The 17,543-nt window shown below is 42.0% G+C and overlaps 1 protein-coding gene across 4 annotated transcripts in view, besides 1 other annotated feature; it reads left to right on the top strand.

The window, feature by feature from the left end:
* The window catches only part of ADAMTS12 (ADAM metallopeptidase with thrombospondin type 1 motif 12), a 368,456-nt gene that overhangs the window by 35,145 nt on the left and 315,768 nt on the right, over nt 1-17,543 (top strand). The gene's annotated exons all lie outside the window — the stretch shown is intronic.
* Nucleotides 6,443-6,944: an enhancer, noted in NCBI's record as "H3K27ac hESC enhancer chr5:33850007-33850508 (GRCh37/hg19 assembly coordinates)". NCBI's record gives its function as "activates a minimal SCP1, AML or CMV promoter by ChIP-STARR-seq in primed H9 embryonic stem cells {active_cell/tissue: H9 hESC(primed)}" and the evidence as "EXISTENCE:reporter gene assay evidence [ECO:0000049][PMID:30033119]".

Genomic DNA, 17,543 nt, shown 5'->3' with positions numbered 1-17,543 from the left:
ATTTTCACACTGTTTTCTGTAATGGCTGTACCAATCTACATTCCCACCAGCAGGATACAAGGGTTTTCTTTTCTTCGCATCATGGCCAAACTTGTTATCCCTGGTCTTTTTTATAATAGCCATTCTGACAGGTGCAGGGCTATATCTAGTGGTTTTGATATGCATTTCCCAGATATTTAGTGAAGTTTTCCACCTTTTCATATACGTATTTGCTACTTGTATGCTTTTTTTTTTTGAGAAATCCTTTAAAATTTAGAGATGGGGTCTCACTATGTTGCCCAGGTTGGACTTGAACTCTTGGGCTCAAGTGATCCTCCTACCTCAGCCTCCCAAATGGCTGGGATTAAAGGTGCAAATCATCCCACTGGCTGCCACTTTTTCTGGAGGGGCTACCTTTTACAATTTCACCTGCCTTCCCTGCATGACTTCTTGCAATTTGCACAAATATGTGTGACTATAAGAGTCATATAGCCCCTTACCCATAGGATTTGGCCCAGCTTTATGTTCCCAGATGACAATCACCCAGGACACAATAGTCCATCACCAGCATGTTTTCCAAAGCCTGAGTTATTTAGTCTCAAACAGCAGTGCAGGGAGGTTTTGCGGGGGATGTGTGTGTATTATTCAACAGATCCTTTTCCACTGAGCTACAGCAGGTCCTGACCAATTCTCTATCCAGTCTCTCCTTTGATTCAAGGTGAAGAATAAGTCTGTGTCTATTTCTCGAAATCATTCAGGTTTTGCTTCTATCTCCAGTGAAGAACTGTTTGTGCTGGAATACAAGTTGGGAGGCCTTCTCAAGAAGACACAATTATGCTGGGTACAGTGGCTCATGCTGGTAATCCCAGCACTTTGGGAGGCTGAGGCAGGAGGATTGTTTGAATCCAGGAGTTGGAGACAAACCTACACAACGTAGTGAGGCATCATCGCTACAAACAAACAAACAAACAAAATAGCTGGGTGTGGTGGCGCTTGCCTATAGTCCCAACTACGTCGGAGGTTGAGGTGGGAGAATTGCTTGAGACTGTGGTTGATGCAAGGCTGCAATGAGCTGTGATCATGCCACTGCTCTCTAGCCCGGGCAATAGAGCAAGACCCTGTCTCAAAAACAACAACAACAAAAAAGATACAATTATATAAAGACTCACATTCTATAAATATGCAGAGAAAAAAAACATTTCTCCCATACAAATATGCAAAACTGCAGTGACACATTTCTGCTGAAATATAAACCCAGTAGTCATGTTCGAAGGCAAACATGACTCGTTTCCCTGTTTAACCACCTTTACATCGAGATGAAGACAATTTTTATTTTAATCACCAGAACAAATAGAATGTCTGCTCCAAAAAGAAATTTAATCTTCCTTCTTTTAACATGTAGGACACCATGGAGCTTTGGAATAGCTTTCCAGCTTCTAACCAGCAAGGAATCAATTTGTCCTAGGATATGCTGTTATAATAATTTGAACTTGTTAAACTTCCTTAGATTCTAATTTCCAGAAATGCAAGGATTAAGCATTCTCTCTGTTTAGCTGTGTGAATGCTACAAATGAGGATTAGTGACATTTAAAATGTGTGCCATCTGATGGTGCCTCCATTGAGAGAGGGGACATGCCTCATACCACGTTACTCTTTTAAGTGCAGTTCAGTTCTTGGCCCAGATGGAAAATTCTGCTGGTTCCTTTTCCATACAATCAAAGAATGTGACCGTTTCTGCCCTCTTGTTCTTGAATGCTGTCTAAAGCCTGGGGTGATGTAGCTGAGGAATGAAATCTACTGGCAGAGCTGTGTGGGAAAACTTGCCCAGTGAGGCTTCTTGCCTTGTTTCCTGATCCGGAACTTTGTGGCTCACTGGCAGAAATCACTGATTTGAGTTGCAGGATGCCTGTGTGTCAGGGTTTGTTGTCCCTCACCAGGGGGAGGGAAATAAATGTTCTGCTTATCCCCTGACTCTGCCCCCCAGGATGAGGAATTCTCTCTGACCTCTGACCTTTGGGGGTTGCCTGGTAAGACCCATGCTTACTCAGACATGAGACTTTGGAATGGGGCCTCTGGCTGGCGGAAATTCCTCCTGTCGCTATCAGTGCTTTGTGCTGCAGCCTCATAAATAGGAATGGTTTTTTCTCCCCCTCCCTCCCTTTTTGTCTTTCTGCTTACTTTTCAGTTCATCAGGTTTATTTTGTGAGTTCCCATCATGACCAATTAGAGATGGGAGGGATAGAATTGAAGAACCTATGTTTTAAGAAGCAGCATTGTTTTCTTCTTTCTGCTGGGTCTTGAATCAGCAGACCTTCCTATGGTCTAGGGATGGTACAGGAGAAGGAATGGAGAATGATCTCTGCTATTACTGGGGAAAGAGGCCAGATTCTCTATTATAGGGTTAGTGACTTGGCTTAAGGGTCTACACAAATGCAGCCCACAGATGTTACTCCCTTCTGGTGTTTATCTCTTCTGGAGACTTTACTTTGAATCTCTTCTCTGTTTTCATTACATAAACTGAAGACTAGGTGTCCAGAGCCTCCCTCCAGATATTCATGGATTAATATTTCTGTTCTTTTTGACCGAATATGAATCACAGGTAGGGAGCTTAAATATTAAAGAGAGCTAATCCCTTTTGAAAATGTCCCCATTGATTTACAGATATTAATAAGGACTTTGAAAAATGGGAAAACAAGAGGCCTGGTTTTTATGTCCTGTAACTGAAAAATTGTTTTACTTGGTCATTGGAGGTGATCTTTCAGTATAAGATGACTGATTTATTTTTAACCAGACAACCCATGTGGAGGCTTGACATATTTTGCATAAAGGGCAATTCCACCGAATTTGGGAGTTGGAGGAGCTGAGCTCAAGTCCTAGCTCGACTATGCACTGTGTTACTTTAGACAAGACTTTGCCTCTTTAGAGCTGTTACTTTGGATGAACTGGATCCTTGCAGCCCAGGGACCAGCAGGATTGGCATCACCTGAGGGCTTGTTAGAAATGCACATTCTCAGATCCTCCCCTGGTCAGCTGAATTAGACCTAAATTTTAACAAGATCCCCAGGTGATTTGTATGTGCATTAAAATTTGAGAAGCATTGACCCATTAAACACAGACACTAATTCTATTTGAGTTCACCCTTTTATGTCTTGCATCCTTGTGGCAAATTGTTTGTCGAAAGCCTAATGATGCTTAAAACAGTAGCAGGGAATGATGCTGCTCTAATCAATGTTGATGGGTGAAGGAGTGGAAGAGGAATCTTAGACAATGTGATTCAGGAAAAGACTGAGAAGATACATGGGAACTTGGAAGCCAAAAAAGATGGGTCATTTGGCCAAATGTACCCATTCATTGTCATCCTTTTCTGCTCCCCTATTCTCTGCTGTGTTGCGTTATGTTCAAATCTGTGTCTTTGGCATGGATAGCTCTTACCAGAAAAGCTGCTGGTTCTTCTCATGCTCTTTAATTCTTGTCTGCTTGATGAGTGTGCCAAGCAATAATCTCTTGTTTTGGTGTTTTCATCTAAGCTGTTGAGAAGAGACAGGCTTTCTGGGCCACAGAAGGGCTGGGACAGACAATGACAGCTAGCATTGTTGATGGTTTTATTCCTATCTCAAGGGGATGGACCTTGTTGATTCTAAGTTTAGGTCAAGAATGAAGAGACCTTGATGTTATAAATATTCTCTTAAGAGATTGTTAGTGTGGAGTTTTCCAAGGTGGTGATTAAAATCTATGTGTAACAGGGCAGTGGCAAAACAAGAATTAGGCTCCCTGCTCGGTTCCGGGAGGACAGTACCCATGCAGACAGGGCTGCTGACAGCAGTGCACCCTGGGGACGGCAGGGGTAGGGGCAGGAGGCATGGCCCCTGCTCCTGAGGGGCTGTGGCCACCTTGCCTCTGTTAAGTTCTAGACCCCTGACTAAATGAATGGGGATTTAGAGAAGGTATGCATGTGTTTTTTTTGTGTGTCTCCATAAACTGCAGCCATCCTGTCTGTTTGCCTTTTTATTGATGATACCTGTTATTTGCTTTTAAGCCCTTTCAAATAATCAAATACTGAAAATCTTCCTTTCAACAAACACATACAAATGACCTTCTTAGCTTTTTTCCCAATGGTGTATGTTGCTGGATTTGCTTATTTCCCTCCTTGAGAGATTTCAGACATTTACTTTAATAGAGTGAATTTCATACACTAGTGCTTCCTACCAGACCGTTTCTCTAACTTGCAGACTGCACATTTCCATGTAGACATTCCTTCATAGTTCTGCAATTAAATTGGCTGGGAGGACAATAAACTATTTTCAGAAACAGATTTATCAGATTATGAAATTTCATACTAAACGGCCGCATTTGGTGTCACTGATTCCTCCCTTTACCCATTCTCCATCCACTCACCCTCTGTACCCTGTTTATGGCAGATTTTTCTCTAGACTGTTTTTTCCCGTTTGATTTCTGCTTTGGCCGTAAGAAATGAGTCACTTAATTTTAAAATGCACAACTTTCAGTCTCTTAGTGGGTCATCAGATACTACTATCTTTCTTCCAAGCAGCCTTTCTTTCTTCTAGAAAACCTTTTTAAAAACTTTTTAAAAGTTTACCACTGATTCTTTCTCTTTCTGGTCCTTCAGTATTCTCAGCCGATCTCTAAGGACTTTTTTTTTCTGTTTACCAAACTGAGCTTTCTGGGAATTTTCTTTGGCTTTTCTTTCTCTTCCTTGGTCTTTGTTTTAGTTGTTTTTACAATTTGGTTTTGTTGTTGTTGTTGTTGTTAGCACATTTGCAGAAGAAACACAGGAGGTTAAACTGTTAGATAATATAAGGCTTAGGAATAGTCAGTGGTCTCTTATCTTTTCCAACCTCTACAGAGCTTGATAAGGAAAGAATATGGGGAATGTGCCACTCATGGCAGAGCTTCCGGACAAATTAGAGTTGATTGATAAGCAGGCTATGGTGTGTGTGTGTGTGCTTGCACATGCGTGTGTGCACATGAGCATGTGTATGCCCATACTGGGAGTAGCTAATGCAGAATAAGTCTGCAGAAAGGGGTTTTACCTGAACGTATGGTGCAGAATAAATGAATGAAATCAGCTAGGCTTACTGAAAAAGACATAAAAGCATCTCTGCATCTTTTTTCTTCATTTATTTGAAATTGCATTGCAGCAGAGGGCACATCTGATCTTGGAGGTTGGATATTGTGGGGGACTGGGCAGCAATCCAGTATCCCTTCTGAGCAGATACTCTTTTCTATCTGGAAGGTTGTGATAACAGTTGCTTTGGCAATGACCAGAGGAGGATTTGAGATGTATCGGTGAGTGCTTTACATCCCTCCTCTGGAAAGGATTCTCTCTTTTACTAGTAAATCCTTTTAATTCAATTAGTTAATTCAACTGTTTCAATAAAGAGATTCAAATTTGACAAATAGACTCCTCTTTCCTTTTATTTTATTTTATTTTTTTGAGATGGAGTCTCGCTGTGTCACCCAGGCTGGAGTGCAGTGGCGTGATCTCGGCTCACTGCAAGCTCTGCATCCTGGGTCCATGCCATTCTCCTGCCTCAGCCTCCCGAGTAGCTGGGACTACAGGTGCCCACCACCATGCCTGGTTAATTTTTTGTATTTTTAGTAGAGATGGGGTTTCACCACGTTAGCCAGAATGATCTCGATCTCCTGACCTCGTGATCTGCCTGCCTCGGCCTCCCAAAGTGCTGGGATTACAGGCATGAGCCACTGTGTCTGGCCTCCTTTTATTTTTATTGCTAGCTTAGTCCACTGTGATTTAGGCTTAAGACTTCAGAAGAGTACTCTGTCATGCGCAAGCACTGGACTTGGAGTTGGGAGACCTGAAGTTTATGCCTGAATGCTCCCATCTAGCCAGAAGCTCTAAGAGAAGTTTCTTAACACTCAAGATTCCAGCTTCTTTTTCTGGGAAATGAAGGCTAATTCCTAAGATCTTATAGAACTCAGGAACTCTGACCAAAGCATATCACCTCATGGGGTGATACGTGCAAAATTAGGTATATAGTTGTTTGTTTTATTGGTGGGTGACCTTAGACAAGACTTCGCCTCTTTAGATCTATTACTTTGGGTGAACTGGATCCTTGCAGCCCAGGGACCAGCAGGATGGGAAAAAACTCTCTCTTTGACCTTTGAATCTGAAAAACTAAACAGTCAAAAAATATGAAGGTGAGAAATAATATCCTAGCCCAGGTCATCCAGAGTAGATATTTACACTGTAACATTTTCTGTGCTGTGGACATGGATGGTGGCAGCATGATGCTGGTATCAGACTGTTCCTGTGAGGAAAAGGCTGCTGCAATGAGAGAGGCCTATGGTGTCGAGAGCCTGTTGGGCTTTCCAGGTAGGCAGATTTCAGTCATTAGCTCTGTAACTTTGGGCATGTTAGCTCTGAGATTGTAAAAGGGGCTGACAGCACCTGTTTTGGTTGGGAGGATGGGTGTGTAGCACTTAGCATAGTGCCACACCAAGAACTCTCTTGTGAAAGGGAACAAGAAGGCCTCCCAGAGGTCGCCGTGGCCAGCTTCCCCTGAGGTCTGATTAATCCTCTCTTTTAGTGAAACTTTCTGCTGAGTCATTGTGTCTGAAACCCAGAGGCATGTGAGACCATGCCACATCCTGGGTCAGGAAGTCCCCTTTCACCTGCTTAACCGATGTGCAGGTGACGGACCATTAGACGCTCGTGGTAAGGGTGGGTCACAGTCTGGTGGTGAGATCTGCTCCGTACAGACGATATGGTAAGAACAGATCATCTATTGAGAGTGAAAATCTCCGTGAGAGGAATCTAGGCTTTTCCCCCTTCGTTTTATAATACGTTTAGCAGGTAATAAGTTCACATGCTACAAAACTTAAAAGATAAAAAGGATTTACACTATAAAATACATCTCCCACCTGCCTCTGCTACTAGTATAGTGTGTGTATATATTATATACACATGCTATCTATATGTAGGTAATACATATATAATATGCTATGCAATACATATATATATTGATACAATGTATATTGCTATGCAATACATATATATTGATACAATGTATATATTGCTATGCAATACATATATAGATACTATATATTGCTATGCAATACATATATAGATACTATATATTGCTATGCAATACATATATAGATACTATATATTGCTATGCAATACATATATAGATACCATATATTGCTGTGCAATACATATATAGATACTATATATTGCTATGCAATACATATATATTGCTATGCAATACATATATATTGCTATGCAATACATATGTGTATTGCTATGCAATACACATGTGTATTGCTATGCAGTACATATATGTATATATTGCTATGCAATACATATATATATATTGCTATGCAATACATATATATATATTGCTGTGCAATACATATATATATATTGCTGTGCAATACATATATATATTGCTATTCAATACATATATATATTGCTGTGCAATACATATATATATATTGCTGTGCAATACATATATATATTGCTATTCAATACATATATATATTGCTATTCAATACATATATATATAGCTATGCAATACATATATATATATTGCTATGCAATACATATATATATTGCTATGCAATACATATATATATATTGCTATGCAATACATATATATATATTGCTATGCAATACATATATATATATTGCTATGCAATACATATATATATTGCTATGCAATACATATATATATTGCTATGCAATACATATATATATATTGCTATGCAATACATATATATATTGCTATGCAATACATATATATATTGCTATGCAATACATATATATATATTGCTATGCAATACATATATATATATTGCTATGCAATACATATATATATATTGCTATGCAATACATATATATATATTGCTATGCAATACATATATATAGATGTCTCTTCTCAACAGCTTAGATGAAAACACCACGATATATATATATCATGTGTGTGTATAATATATACACATTAAAGCTACTTAGGTGATTCTGGTGCAGCCAGGTTTGTAAGCTAATAATCTACGTTCTAGATTCATATTTTCTCTTCTGCTTCTCCAAGGCCTGCCCTCCCACTTCTCTTTTTCAGTGCTAATACTTGCAATCACCCTAGGTGATAGACACTCAAAATACTTCTGCTAAGAATAGAAGCCTGCTTGCATTTTCCCTAGGCAAGTTGTCATTGGGGCAACTGATTCAGAATACATCTCAACAATTCCAACAACCTCAAGTAACCTGTATAAAAGATAGGACTCTCTGAAGTCCAGTTTTGCAACTAATACCAATGAGGGAAACACAAATTTGACTTCTCAGGATTGGAGAGAAACATTTCTCATGATGTAGACATGTGTATCATAGGAAACATCCTACAGACAGTTTTCTTAAAATCTTGTATAGATCTTGTTCTTGTCTTCAACATTTCACATTCACATTCACAGAAGCTTCTGAAATCCCTCCATCTTTCACCTCACTATGTCGCTTGTTTGTCTATCCTCTGCCCTCATGTTGACTTCCTGTTGGGTGACAACTGGCACTTCAGGTTCTGGATTCTGGCTGAGCTGAGACACTCCAAGGTGGCTGGTGGTGGTCTGGGCAACTCCAGGTACTCAGGCATTTCCTTGCTTCACTTTTTTTTTTTTTTAAACAGAGTCTTACTCTGTTACCCAGGCTGGAGTGCAGTGGTGCGATCTTGGCTCATTGCAACCTCCGCCTCCTGGATTCAAGCGACTCTCCTGCCTCAGCCTCCTGAGTGGTTGGGATTACAGGCACCTGCCACAATGCCCTGCTCCTTTTTTTGTATTTTTAGTAGAGATGGGGTTTCACCATATGGGCCAGGCTGGTCTCAAACTCTTGACCTCAAGTGATCTGACCACCTTGGCCTCCCTAAGTGCTGGGATTACAGGTGTAAGCCACTGCACCTGGCCATTGTTTCACTCTTTATGGAAGGGAGAGGATATCCTTGGAAACACAATTTCTTCCTGTGACAGATCTTTGGTGAATACAGTCTTCTACCTCATTCACCTTACAGGTGCTGTGCCCACCCATTAAAGGTGGCCTGTTTTCTGGTAACAGCTTCACCTGAGCCTCTCCAAGGCCCTCTTTGCCTAACTTACTGCTACTTTTATCTTCCTTGGCAGTTAAGTAATCCTATACTTGATCATTTGGGTATAATCATTCTGGGTTTGATCCAGTCCTTGAAACTTCCTTTTCTTTCTTTCTTTCTTTTTTTTTTTGAGATGGAGTTTTGCTCTTGTTGCCCAGGCTGGAGTGCAATGGCGCGATCTCGGCTCACCACAATCTCCATCTCCCGGGTTCAGGTGATTCTCCTGCCTCAGCCTCCCGAGTAGCTGGGATTATAGGCATGTGCCACCTTGCCCGGCTAATTTTTGTGTTTTTAGTAGAGACGGGGTTTCTCCATGTTGGTCAGGCTGGTCTCCAACTCCCGACCTCAGGTGATCCACCAGCCTAGGCCTCCCAAAGTGCTGGGATTACAGGCGTGAGCCACAGTGCCTGGCCGAAACTTCCTGTTTTTTATTAGTGTCCTGTGGGCAGTGAACATGTGGTCTGGCCAGGCTTGCATGAAGGTGCTACCCTTGAGTCTGGACATGGGTAGAAATGCTTGTGGATACGTGAAGATCCACATATCTCTGAGATAGATCTACACATCTGTAACATAGCACCTTTAACATTTTCCTTCTCTCAGGGCCTTTGTGCTGGATTAGGGCTTCACTCTCAGTTCTTCTCACAGGCCAACTTGGGAGTTCTACTGTAGGACAGACCCCCACGAAGTTGTTTGTTTTCCCTTTCTGGAACTTGATCAGAGGCAGCTGGTGTCTTGCCTGGATAAGTAGCAAAGTGGGAGAGAAGACAGAAAGGAGGTATTGGTGGGCAAGAGAAGCTCCAGTTGTTAATCTAGTACATCAGAAGAAAGAAGCAATATTGCTACATCTTGGGGAAGCCCAAGAATATGGTCTTTGATCATCAAATGAGCTAATTGGTGTGCAATTTTATTTTATCTTTTTAGGACTCATTGCTTCATAGTTGTGCTGAAAAGCCTTCAAACCTCCGGGGACAAACATTTCCTTAATCAGAACAAAGTTTCAGGAATTTATTAACAAGTATTCGTTAGGTACCCATTGTGTGTTCTGCAAGGTGTTTACTACTATTGAGGACACAAAGAAATATAAGATGTAGCTACCCCCACCCCCATCAAGATCTCTAACTTTGCCTTTGAAGCCTTCACATGATACACTCCTGAACTGTTGAGTCTTGTGTTGCTTATCATTGCTCTTCTCAGAAGATGGAGGAAAACATGAGCTCTGGAGCAGCAATCAAGGCCGTCTTCCTAGAAGATGAGCATTTGAGCTTGACCTAGAAAAATGAGTAAAAAGGAACTTTAGAAACTCAATTCTATTACTGGCTTTGGGGGCTATTACAGCATTTCAAGTGTTTGGTTTTATTTTCAGGTTAGAGAACAGAGGGAAGGAGTGAATCACTGTGAAAGCCTGATGTTTAGGTGGCTGTTTATTTTAGAGACAGAAGAATTCAGTTAATCAAACATATGGGACATCTAGTAAGTATTGGAAACAGTACATGACACTGTTTTCTGATAACTCCAGTTTCTTCAGTCTAGAATAATTCCTCTGCCTTTCTTTAGCTCTTATGACCTTGACACTTTCGAAGATTATAGACCAGTTATTTTGTAGGATGTCCCTCAGTTTGGGTTTGTCTGACGTTGGCTTATGATTTGATTCAGATTGTGCACATGATACAGTTTGGATATTTGTCCCCTCAAAATTTCATGCTGAAGTTTGATCCCAAGTGCTGGAGGTGGGCCCTGGTGGGAGGTATTTGGGTCATTGGAGTGGATCCTTAATGTATGGGGAGCTGCCATTTTGTGGGAGTGAGTTCCCACTGCAACACCTGGTTGTTGACAAGAGGCTGGCACCTCCTCTGCTCCCTCTTTTCCTTTCGTTCTCTCTCCTGCTTCCTCTCTCACTGTGTGATATCAGCCCCACTTTGCTTTCCACCATGAGTGGAGAGATGGCATCTTTGGCAGAAATAGCCGGAAGTGACCATGTATTTTCTCATTGCATCCTATCAAGTGTCACATACTTCTGATTTGTCTCATTTCTGCTACTCATTTTGATTACTTGATTAAGATGATGTCTACTAGGCTTCTCTCCTGTAAAGTTAGTCTTTTTTCTCTTTCTAATTAATATACATTTGAGGGAAAATGCTTTGAAACTATGTGAGCACTCTGTTCCTCATCAGACATGCAATTTATTTATTCATGTATTTATATTGGTATGGTCTTATGCTTATGTCTGTACTAATGTAACATCATTATTTAATATGTTATTACTATTATATCTGTTATTATTAATACATAACGGCAGTATTTATGATGATATTCAATTATCTCAGTTTGGTCAGTGGGAGCCCCTTCAATCTGGCTTCTGTGTCTTTTGCCTCATCCCATCATTCTTTGAGTATGCTCTTGCTTTCTGGGACAATAAGATGTTCTAGGGTCATTTTGTACTTTCCCAGCCCTATAGTTATTTCTTCAGGGAACCTTTTTCTCCCTCCTCTGAAGAGTGATATTTTGAAGCAAAGATCTGGGCACAAAATGTGCTCATTGCTATCAGGTGCTGCTGTTCCAGACCCTCTCAATGGACAGAGGTAGAGAATATGTGTGTATATGGGCATATGTGCATGTAAGCCACAATACCTGCTTGCAGCTCTAGTTATTAGTGTATCTATATACTAATATACATGTATGGAAAATTATGGGTTTACACTAATGTTGTAGTCCTCCCTTATCTATGGTTTCACTTTCTGTTTTCAGTTTACCTGTGGCCGACTGTGGTCTGAAAATTTTAAATAAAAAATTTCAGAAATTATCGGGGAACCTGCCCCCAGTAGTCATGTAGGTTCTTTTCTATTTTCCATAAGCATCGGCCGGGTTGAGAAATAAAGGGACAGAGTACAAAAGAGAGATTTTAAAGCTGGGCGTCCGGGGGAGGCATCACATTTCGGTAGGTTCCGTGATGCCCCACAAGCCGCAAAACCAGCAAGTTTTTATTAGTGATTTTCAAAGGGAAGGGAGTCTACAAATAGGGTGTGGGTCACAGAGATCACGTGCTTCACAAGGTAATAGAATATCACAAGGCAAATGGAGGCAGGGCGAGATCATGGGACCACAGGACCGGGGCAAAATTAAAATTGCTAATGAAGTTTCGGGCACCATTGTCATTGATAACATCTTATCAGGAGACAGGGTTTGAGAGCAACCGGTCTGACCAAAATTTATTAGGTGGGAATTTCCTCATCCTAATAAGCCTGGGAGCACTATGGGAGACTGGGACTTATTTCATCCCTACAGTTTCCACCATAGAAGATGGCCATACCCAAAGGGGCCATTTTAGAGGCCTACCCTCAGGGGCGCATTCTCTTTCTCAGGGATGTTCCTTGCTGAGAAAAAGAATTTAGCAATATTTCTCCTGTTTGCTTTTGAAAGAAGAGAAATATGGCTCTGTTCCGCCTGGCTCACCGGCAGTCAGAGTTTAAAGTTATCTCTCTTGTTCCCTGAACACTGCTGTTATCCTGTTCTTTTTTCAAGGTGCCCAGATTTCATATTGTTCAAACACACATGCTCTGCAATTTGTGCAGTTAATGCAATCATCACAGGGTCCTGAGGCAACATACATCCTCCTCAGCTTACGAGATGACAGGATTAAGAGATTAAAGACAGGCATAGGAAATCACAAGGGTATTGATTGGGGAAGTGATAAGTGTCCATGAAATCTTCACAATTTATGTTCAGAGATTGCAGTAAAGACAGGCATAATAAATTATGAAAGTATTAATTTGGGGAACTAATAAATGCCCATGAAATCCACATTCTTCTGCCATGGCTTCAGCCAGTCCCTCCGTTTGGGGTCCCTGACTTCCTGCAACAAGAAATACATAATTCATAAGTTTTAAATTGTGTGCCATTCTGTGTAGTAGGAGATCTTGCACCATCCTGCTCATACCTTTGTCCAGTATCCACACTGCCTAGGCCATTTGCCTGTTAGTCACTTCCTGCTTATCAGATCCAAAACCATAGCACATATAGGATTTGTTATTATTCATGGTCTCAGGCATCCAGTGGAGGTCTTGGAACATATCCTCTGTGGATAAGAGGTGACTACCGTACCTTCGCTTCCAGGCCAACATCATAGTATTCATTCTGGTTTTCTCCCTTTTATATTTATGAAAATATCTTCTCTGACAATGATGTAACTGGCTTTCATTCTCCTTAGTATTTGATCAGTCTCCCTGTTTTTGATTAATATCCCATCTCCATTATTGCTACCATTCCCTGCTCTCTTCTCACCAAAATTCAGCTCCCACATTCTGTGCTGGCTACTCACTACCCCCTTGCCTGATATGGATGCCCTCCTCACCCTGCTTGGGCTCTGACCTCCATGTCAAGCCACGGGGCATTGATTCTCCAGACTGCTCCCTCTGGGGCTGTCCACCTTAGCTTGCTCAGGCTCAGGAACCTAGCACTGTGCCTCTTTCTCATTAACACGGACATTTTTCTCATCTTGCTCAGTCCTGGGCTCTGTTACCCTGCACCATGTATCATGCCTATGCAGATGTCTTCACTCTGCTCAGGCTATGGCCTTCTGCTAGTCCACCTCAGCTCTCCTCTCGTTCCAACCCTACACAGATGCATACTTTTATCTGTCCTACTTAAGGGCTTTAGAACTGAACTGTTCAGGAAGGGAAAGGTAGGGAGAGAAGGGCACCATGTTTGTCTGGGTGATCACCAAGGGCCCTTCCAATTCATGCTATGGGGATTTAGACTGTGAGTGCCAGCCACTCAGCATTGCTTACTTTTTCATTTCCTGTAACCTTCATAACAAATCTATGAAGTTGACCCTATGCTGGCTTAGCTACAGATTCCCAGCTCTACCTTAGTGTTTCTTGGAGCTCACCAAGTCTGGCTCTGTCTTTTGTAGTTTTTCTAGCCTTAGCTTTCTGAATGTGTGTTCGCACCCCACTGTTATCCTGGCTCTTGGTATGATGCCTACTGTCCTGGTGTCCAGGGGTCTTCTGTCCTTTTATGGGTCACCTACAGGGTCTCTGCACTGTTAGAGGGCTTAGATGGAGAGACTGTCCCAGTGCCTGGCACCATGCCTGCCTCCCACTTTCCTCTGTTTTTCCAGCTGCCCCTTGCGTTTCCTCAATAGTTCCTTATGCAGCACTCTGGATATTAAGTAAGCTTTGTGCTAATTTCAGCATGAAAAGCTCTGTTTAAAAGTTGCAGTGTAGACAACTCCTGTTTTAAATTATTTTTGCTCTAAAAGCTTTTATGCTATGAGGACTTAGACTTTTGTGAACCCTCCCTTTGTGGAAAGCTGCAACCTTGAGGATTTTCTTATACTGGAGCCATCCCCAAAGCAAATTCTATTTTACCATGATTCAGCAGAATAATTTGTAATAGTTCCCTAAGTAAAGCACCTTTTAAATTTATGTAAAAATTAGAAAGGAAGAATGAGGACCACAACAAAGATGAAAGAGTCAGGGGAGAAAAGGCATGAAGAAAGCACATTTCGCTTTTTTGCATAGGATTACCAATTATTTTGCTTCTCTTATGAGTTACAGATGAACGTTTCCAATGACTCGCTGGGCCTGTCTACTTAGATGTCTTAACAAAGTAAAGTCATAATCCTTTTGTTCTGGAGATTGAGAAGGCATTGCTGAGAGATGGTTAAGGAGACAAAACTGAGGCTTCACCCGATTGCATGAGTGGTGCTAATGGCATTTACCCGGGTGTCCAGGTGTTCAGGGAGATCATGAAGTCAAAAAGGGGATGGTGTAAGAGGAAAATGAAGATGTGTCAGGGTGTGGAATTTCATGGTTGTGTAAGAATGAGAGGTAGAACCTATTGACCCATGTGGCCCTGGCTGAAAGATTTTGATGAGGAGAGAAGCATGAGTCTGCATAAAAAATTACTTCTCTCCCAGAATACCCTACCCTACTCTGGACTGCTTGGTAGCATCTAGGACTCAGCACAAATGCTCCTTCTTGCATTGCGTTGTCAGGAACCCTAGCATAGCAGTCCCATTGATGGGGAGAGAGCAGAAACCATAATGCACTTACATGCAAGACTGAATAGTAGGAAATTAACCCATTTATGCCAGAGGTTGCAAGTTTTTGTGTGTGAAAAATCAGACCTTGGCGACGACCTTGAGCAGTAGGATAAAAATAACTCCTACAAGCTTAGCATTCCAATAATGGAACACTAGGCAAAAATGGGTTATGCTCCAAATGTAGGCCACCCTATTTGAAAGAAAGAAAAATACAGGTCAGAGCATGAGGAGAACAAAAAGTGTGAGTTTGAGTTTTTCTTTTGGAAGTTGAAAGAGAAATGAGCAAAGCCACAGGAGAACCAGAGGTTAACCAGAGACAGGATGGTTGGTGAAATGAAGTGGCAGAGGAAGTAAGAGGTCCAAAGCTGACAGCACAGTGAGAAGACTTTGCCTTAGATGGAAGTACAGGCCCTTTATGCTACAAAAAGGATGAAAAGGAAGGAGGGAGTAGCTGCAGACAACTGTGAGGTTGTGGGGCAGGAGGTGGAGGGAGCTGCAGCAGGGCCTGGAGTCACCAAACCCTAGCAGTACTGGTAAGGGCTGTGGCTATTGAAGCCTGATTGAACAGTCTGGGGTTCAGGGAGAGAATCCAGCCAGGAGACTGTGTGGTCATGTGTGCCACACAGACTGGGGGGACAAGACAGAGCTAAGGGTGGGAGCAGCTCAATTGGCCATATGTGCCACACAGACTGGAGGGACATGGCAGAGCTAAGGGTGGGAGCAGCTCAGTTCAGCAGGACTGGAATGCTTAGCTTCAGTTGATTTGAGCACTGCACTAAACCTAAAGCATCTGAGTTTGATTTGGTTTAGCACTGCACTAAACTGAGGCTGATTTGGCTTAGTACTGCATCTGAGGCTGCCTTTGGATTAGCACTGCACTAAACCAAAGGTGTCAGAGGCTGATCAGTGACCAAACAAGGGCTGCACCTGCAGGCCGAGGATTCCTCCTATCCCTGCAGGGTGGCCCTGGGGATCCAGGGTCTCATATGCCAGAAGGGCTGCAGTAAGTAAGGCTGCTGCATTCCTGGGGCCTTGGGCATAGAGCTGAATACTGTTAGTACAGCTTCCCATGGCTACAACCAGTTTCAACACCTGACTGTGTGCCAGGCACTGTCAGAGGTGCTTACTTCTTTATTTCACATAACCTTCACAACTAATCTATGAGGTGGTACCATTATCATCTCCACAGTTGAGAAGAGGAAACAGGCCACAGGGAACTTAGGTGAGTTGCTCAGGGTGGCACATCTGTGGCCAAGCTGTGAGTTAACCCAGGCTGCCAGGTTCTTCATCCTGAGGTCTTCACCAACATGCCATGGTTAATTAAAGGGTGAGATGGAGAAACTGAAGCAAGGAGATAGTGTTAGGAAACCCTTCCTAAACAGAAGTAGTAAGGAGAAAAGAATTTGAATACATACAGTGAGACCCTAGAGCTCAAGCATTGTATATCTTTACCTGAGATCTTACAAAGAGGAAGATGAAGATGTAAAAGAATAAAGTAGGCTATGCTGATATTTCACATCCTGGCCAGAGATCACCCTGCTTTTGTAAAGCTTTGGAGAAAATGGGTGTAAGTAAACTTGCCTCTGGGGCACTTCTTCCTTCATGGAGATTTGGTGTCTTTCTGCAAGTGGAGATCCTTAGGCTTTGTCAAGGAAAGTCAGTGAATGGGGAATTAGTGAGTTTGCTTAGAAAGATTTATCTTTTCATCAAAATACATTTAGAGGAATAAATTTGAATTATTTAATGCCCAAACCGTCTTCTTTTTGTAGTGTCTTTTTCTTCCTAGCTAGTCACTTGATTCAGCCCTAGTAAAACACAGAAGAACTGTCTTCTTCCCGTTTCATGAAGTTACCAAGCAAACTACTGTATTTGTTTATAGTGAACAAAAATGATAGCACGGACAAATGCGGAGAAGCAGGGCTAATGTTTGTATTGCTTGCGTTTCAGTGAAGAACGCGATACAACCTTTTTGAGTGGGCAGGGCACGGTGGTGGGGATAAGGGTGGAGAACACTGTGTTGTGGGAGGAGTTTTAAAGTGGACAGTCAAACCTAGGAGGCAAGAAGCTTGATGTTGGTGGAAACCAAGAAAGGACCCTCTGTCTTCAGTCGGCTCCCCTCAGCATGGAGCGCAGACCTCATTCTCTGGTTCCCTTCCAGAGTTGGAGCCACCATATGTTCAACTAGGAAAGAAAATTGACCTGGGATCCTGTAAAGAAGGAAAAGCATGTGCCTCAGTGTGACTTAGTAATGCACAGATGTGGAAAGGACACACACCAATTAGCGTGACAATAAAATGACTGACAACAGCATACACCAAAATTCAGGTCTAAAATACGGTTAAACCTACAGTCCCTCATATTGATTAGCCTATAAAAGACACTTGAAATGTGGGATAAAAGATTTCTGC

Source organism: Homo sapiens, chromosome 5 (genome assembly GCF_000001405.40).
Source record: "Homo sapiens chromosome 5, GRCh38.p14 Primary Assembly".
Taxonomy (NCBI): Eukaryota; Metazoa; Chordata; class Mammalia; order Primates; family Hominidae; genus Homo; species Homo sapiens.
Note: the sequence above shows the minus strand (reverse complement) of the source record. Positions and strands in the feature narration are given on the sequence as shown.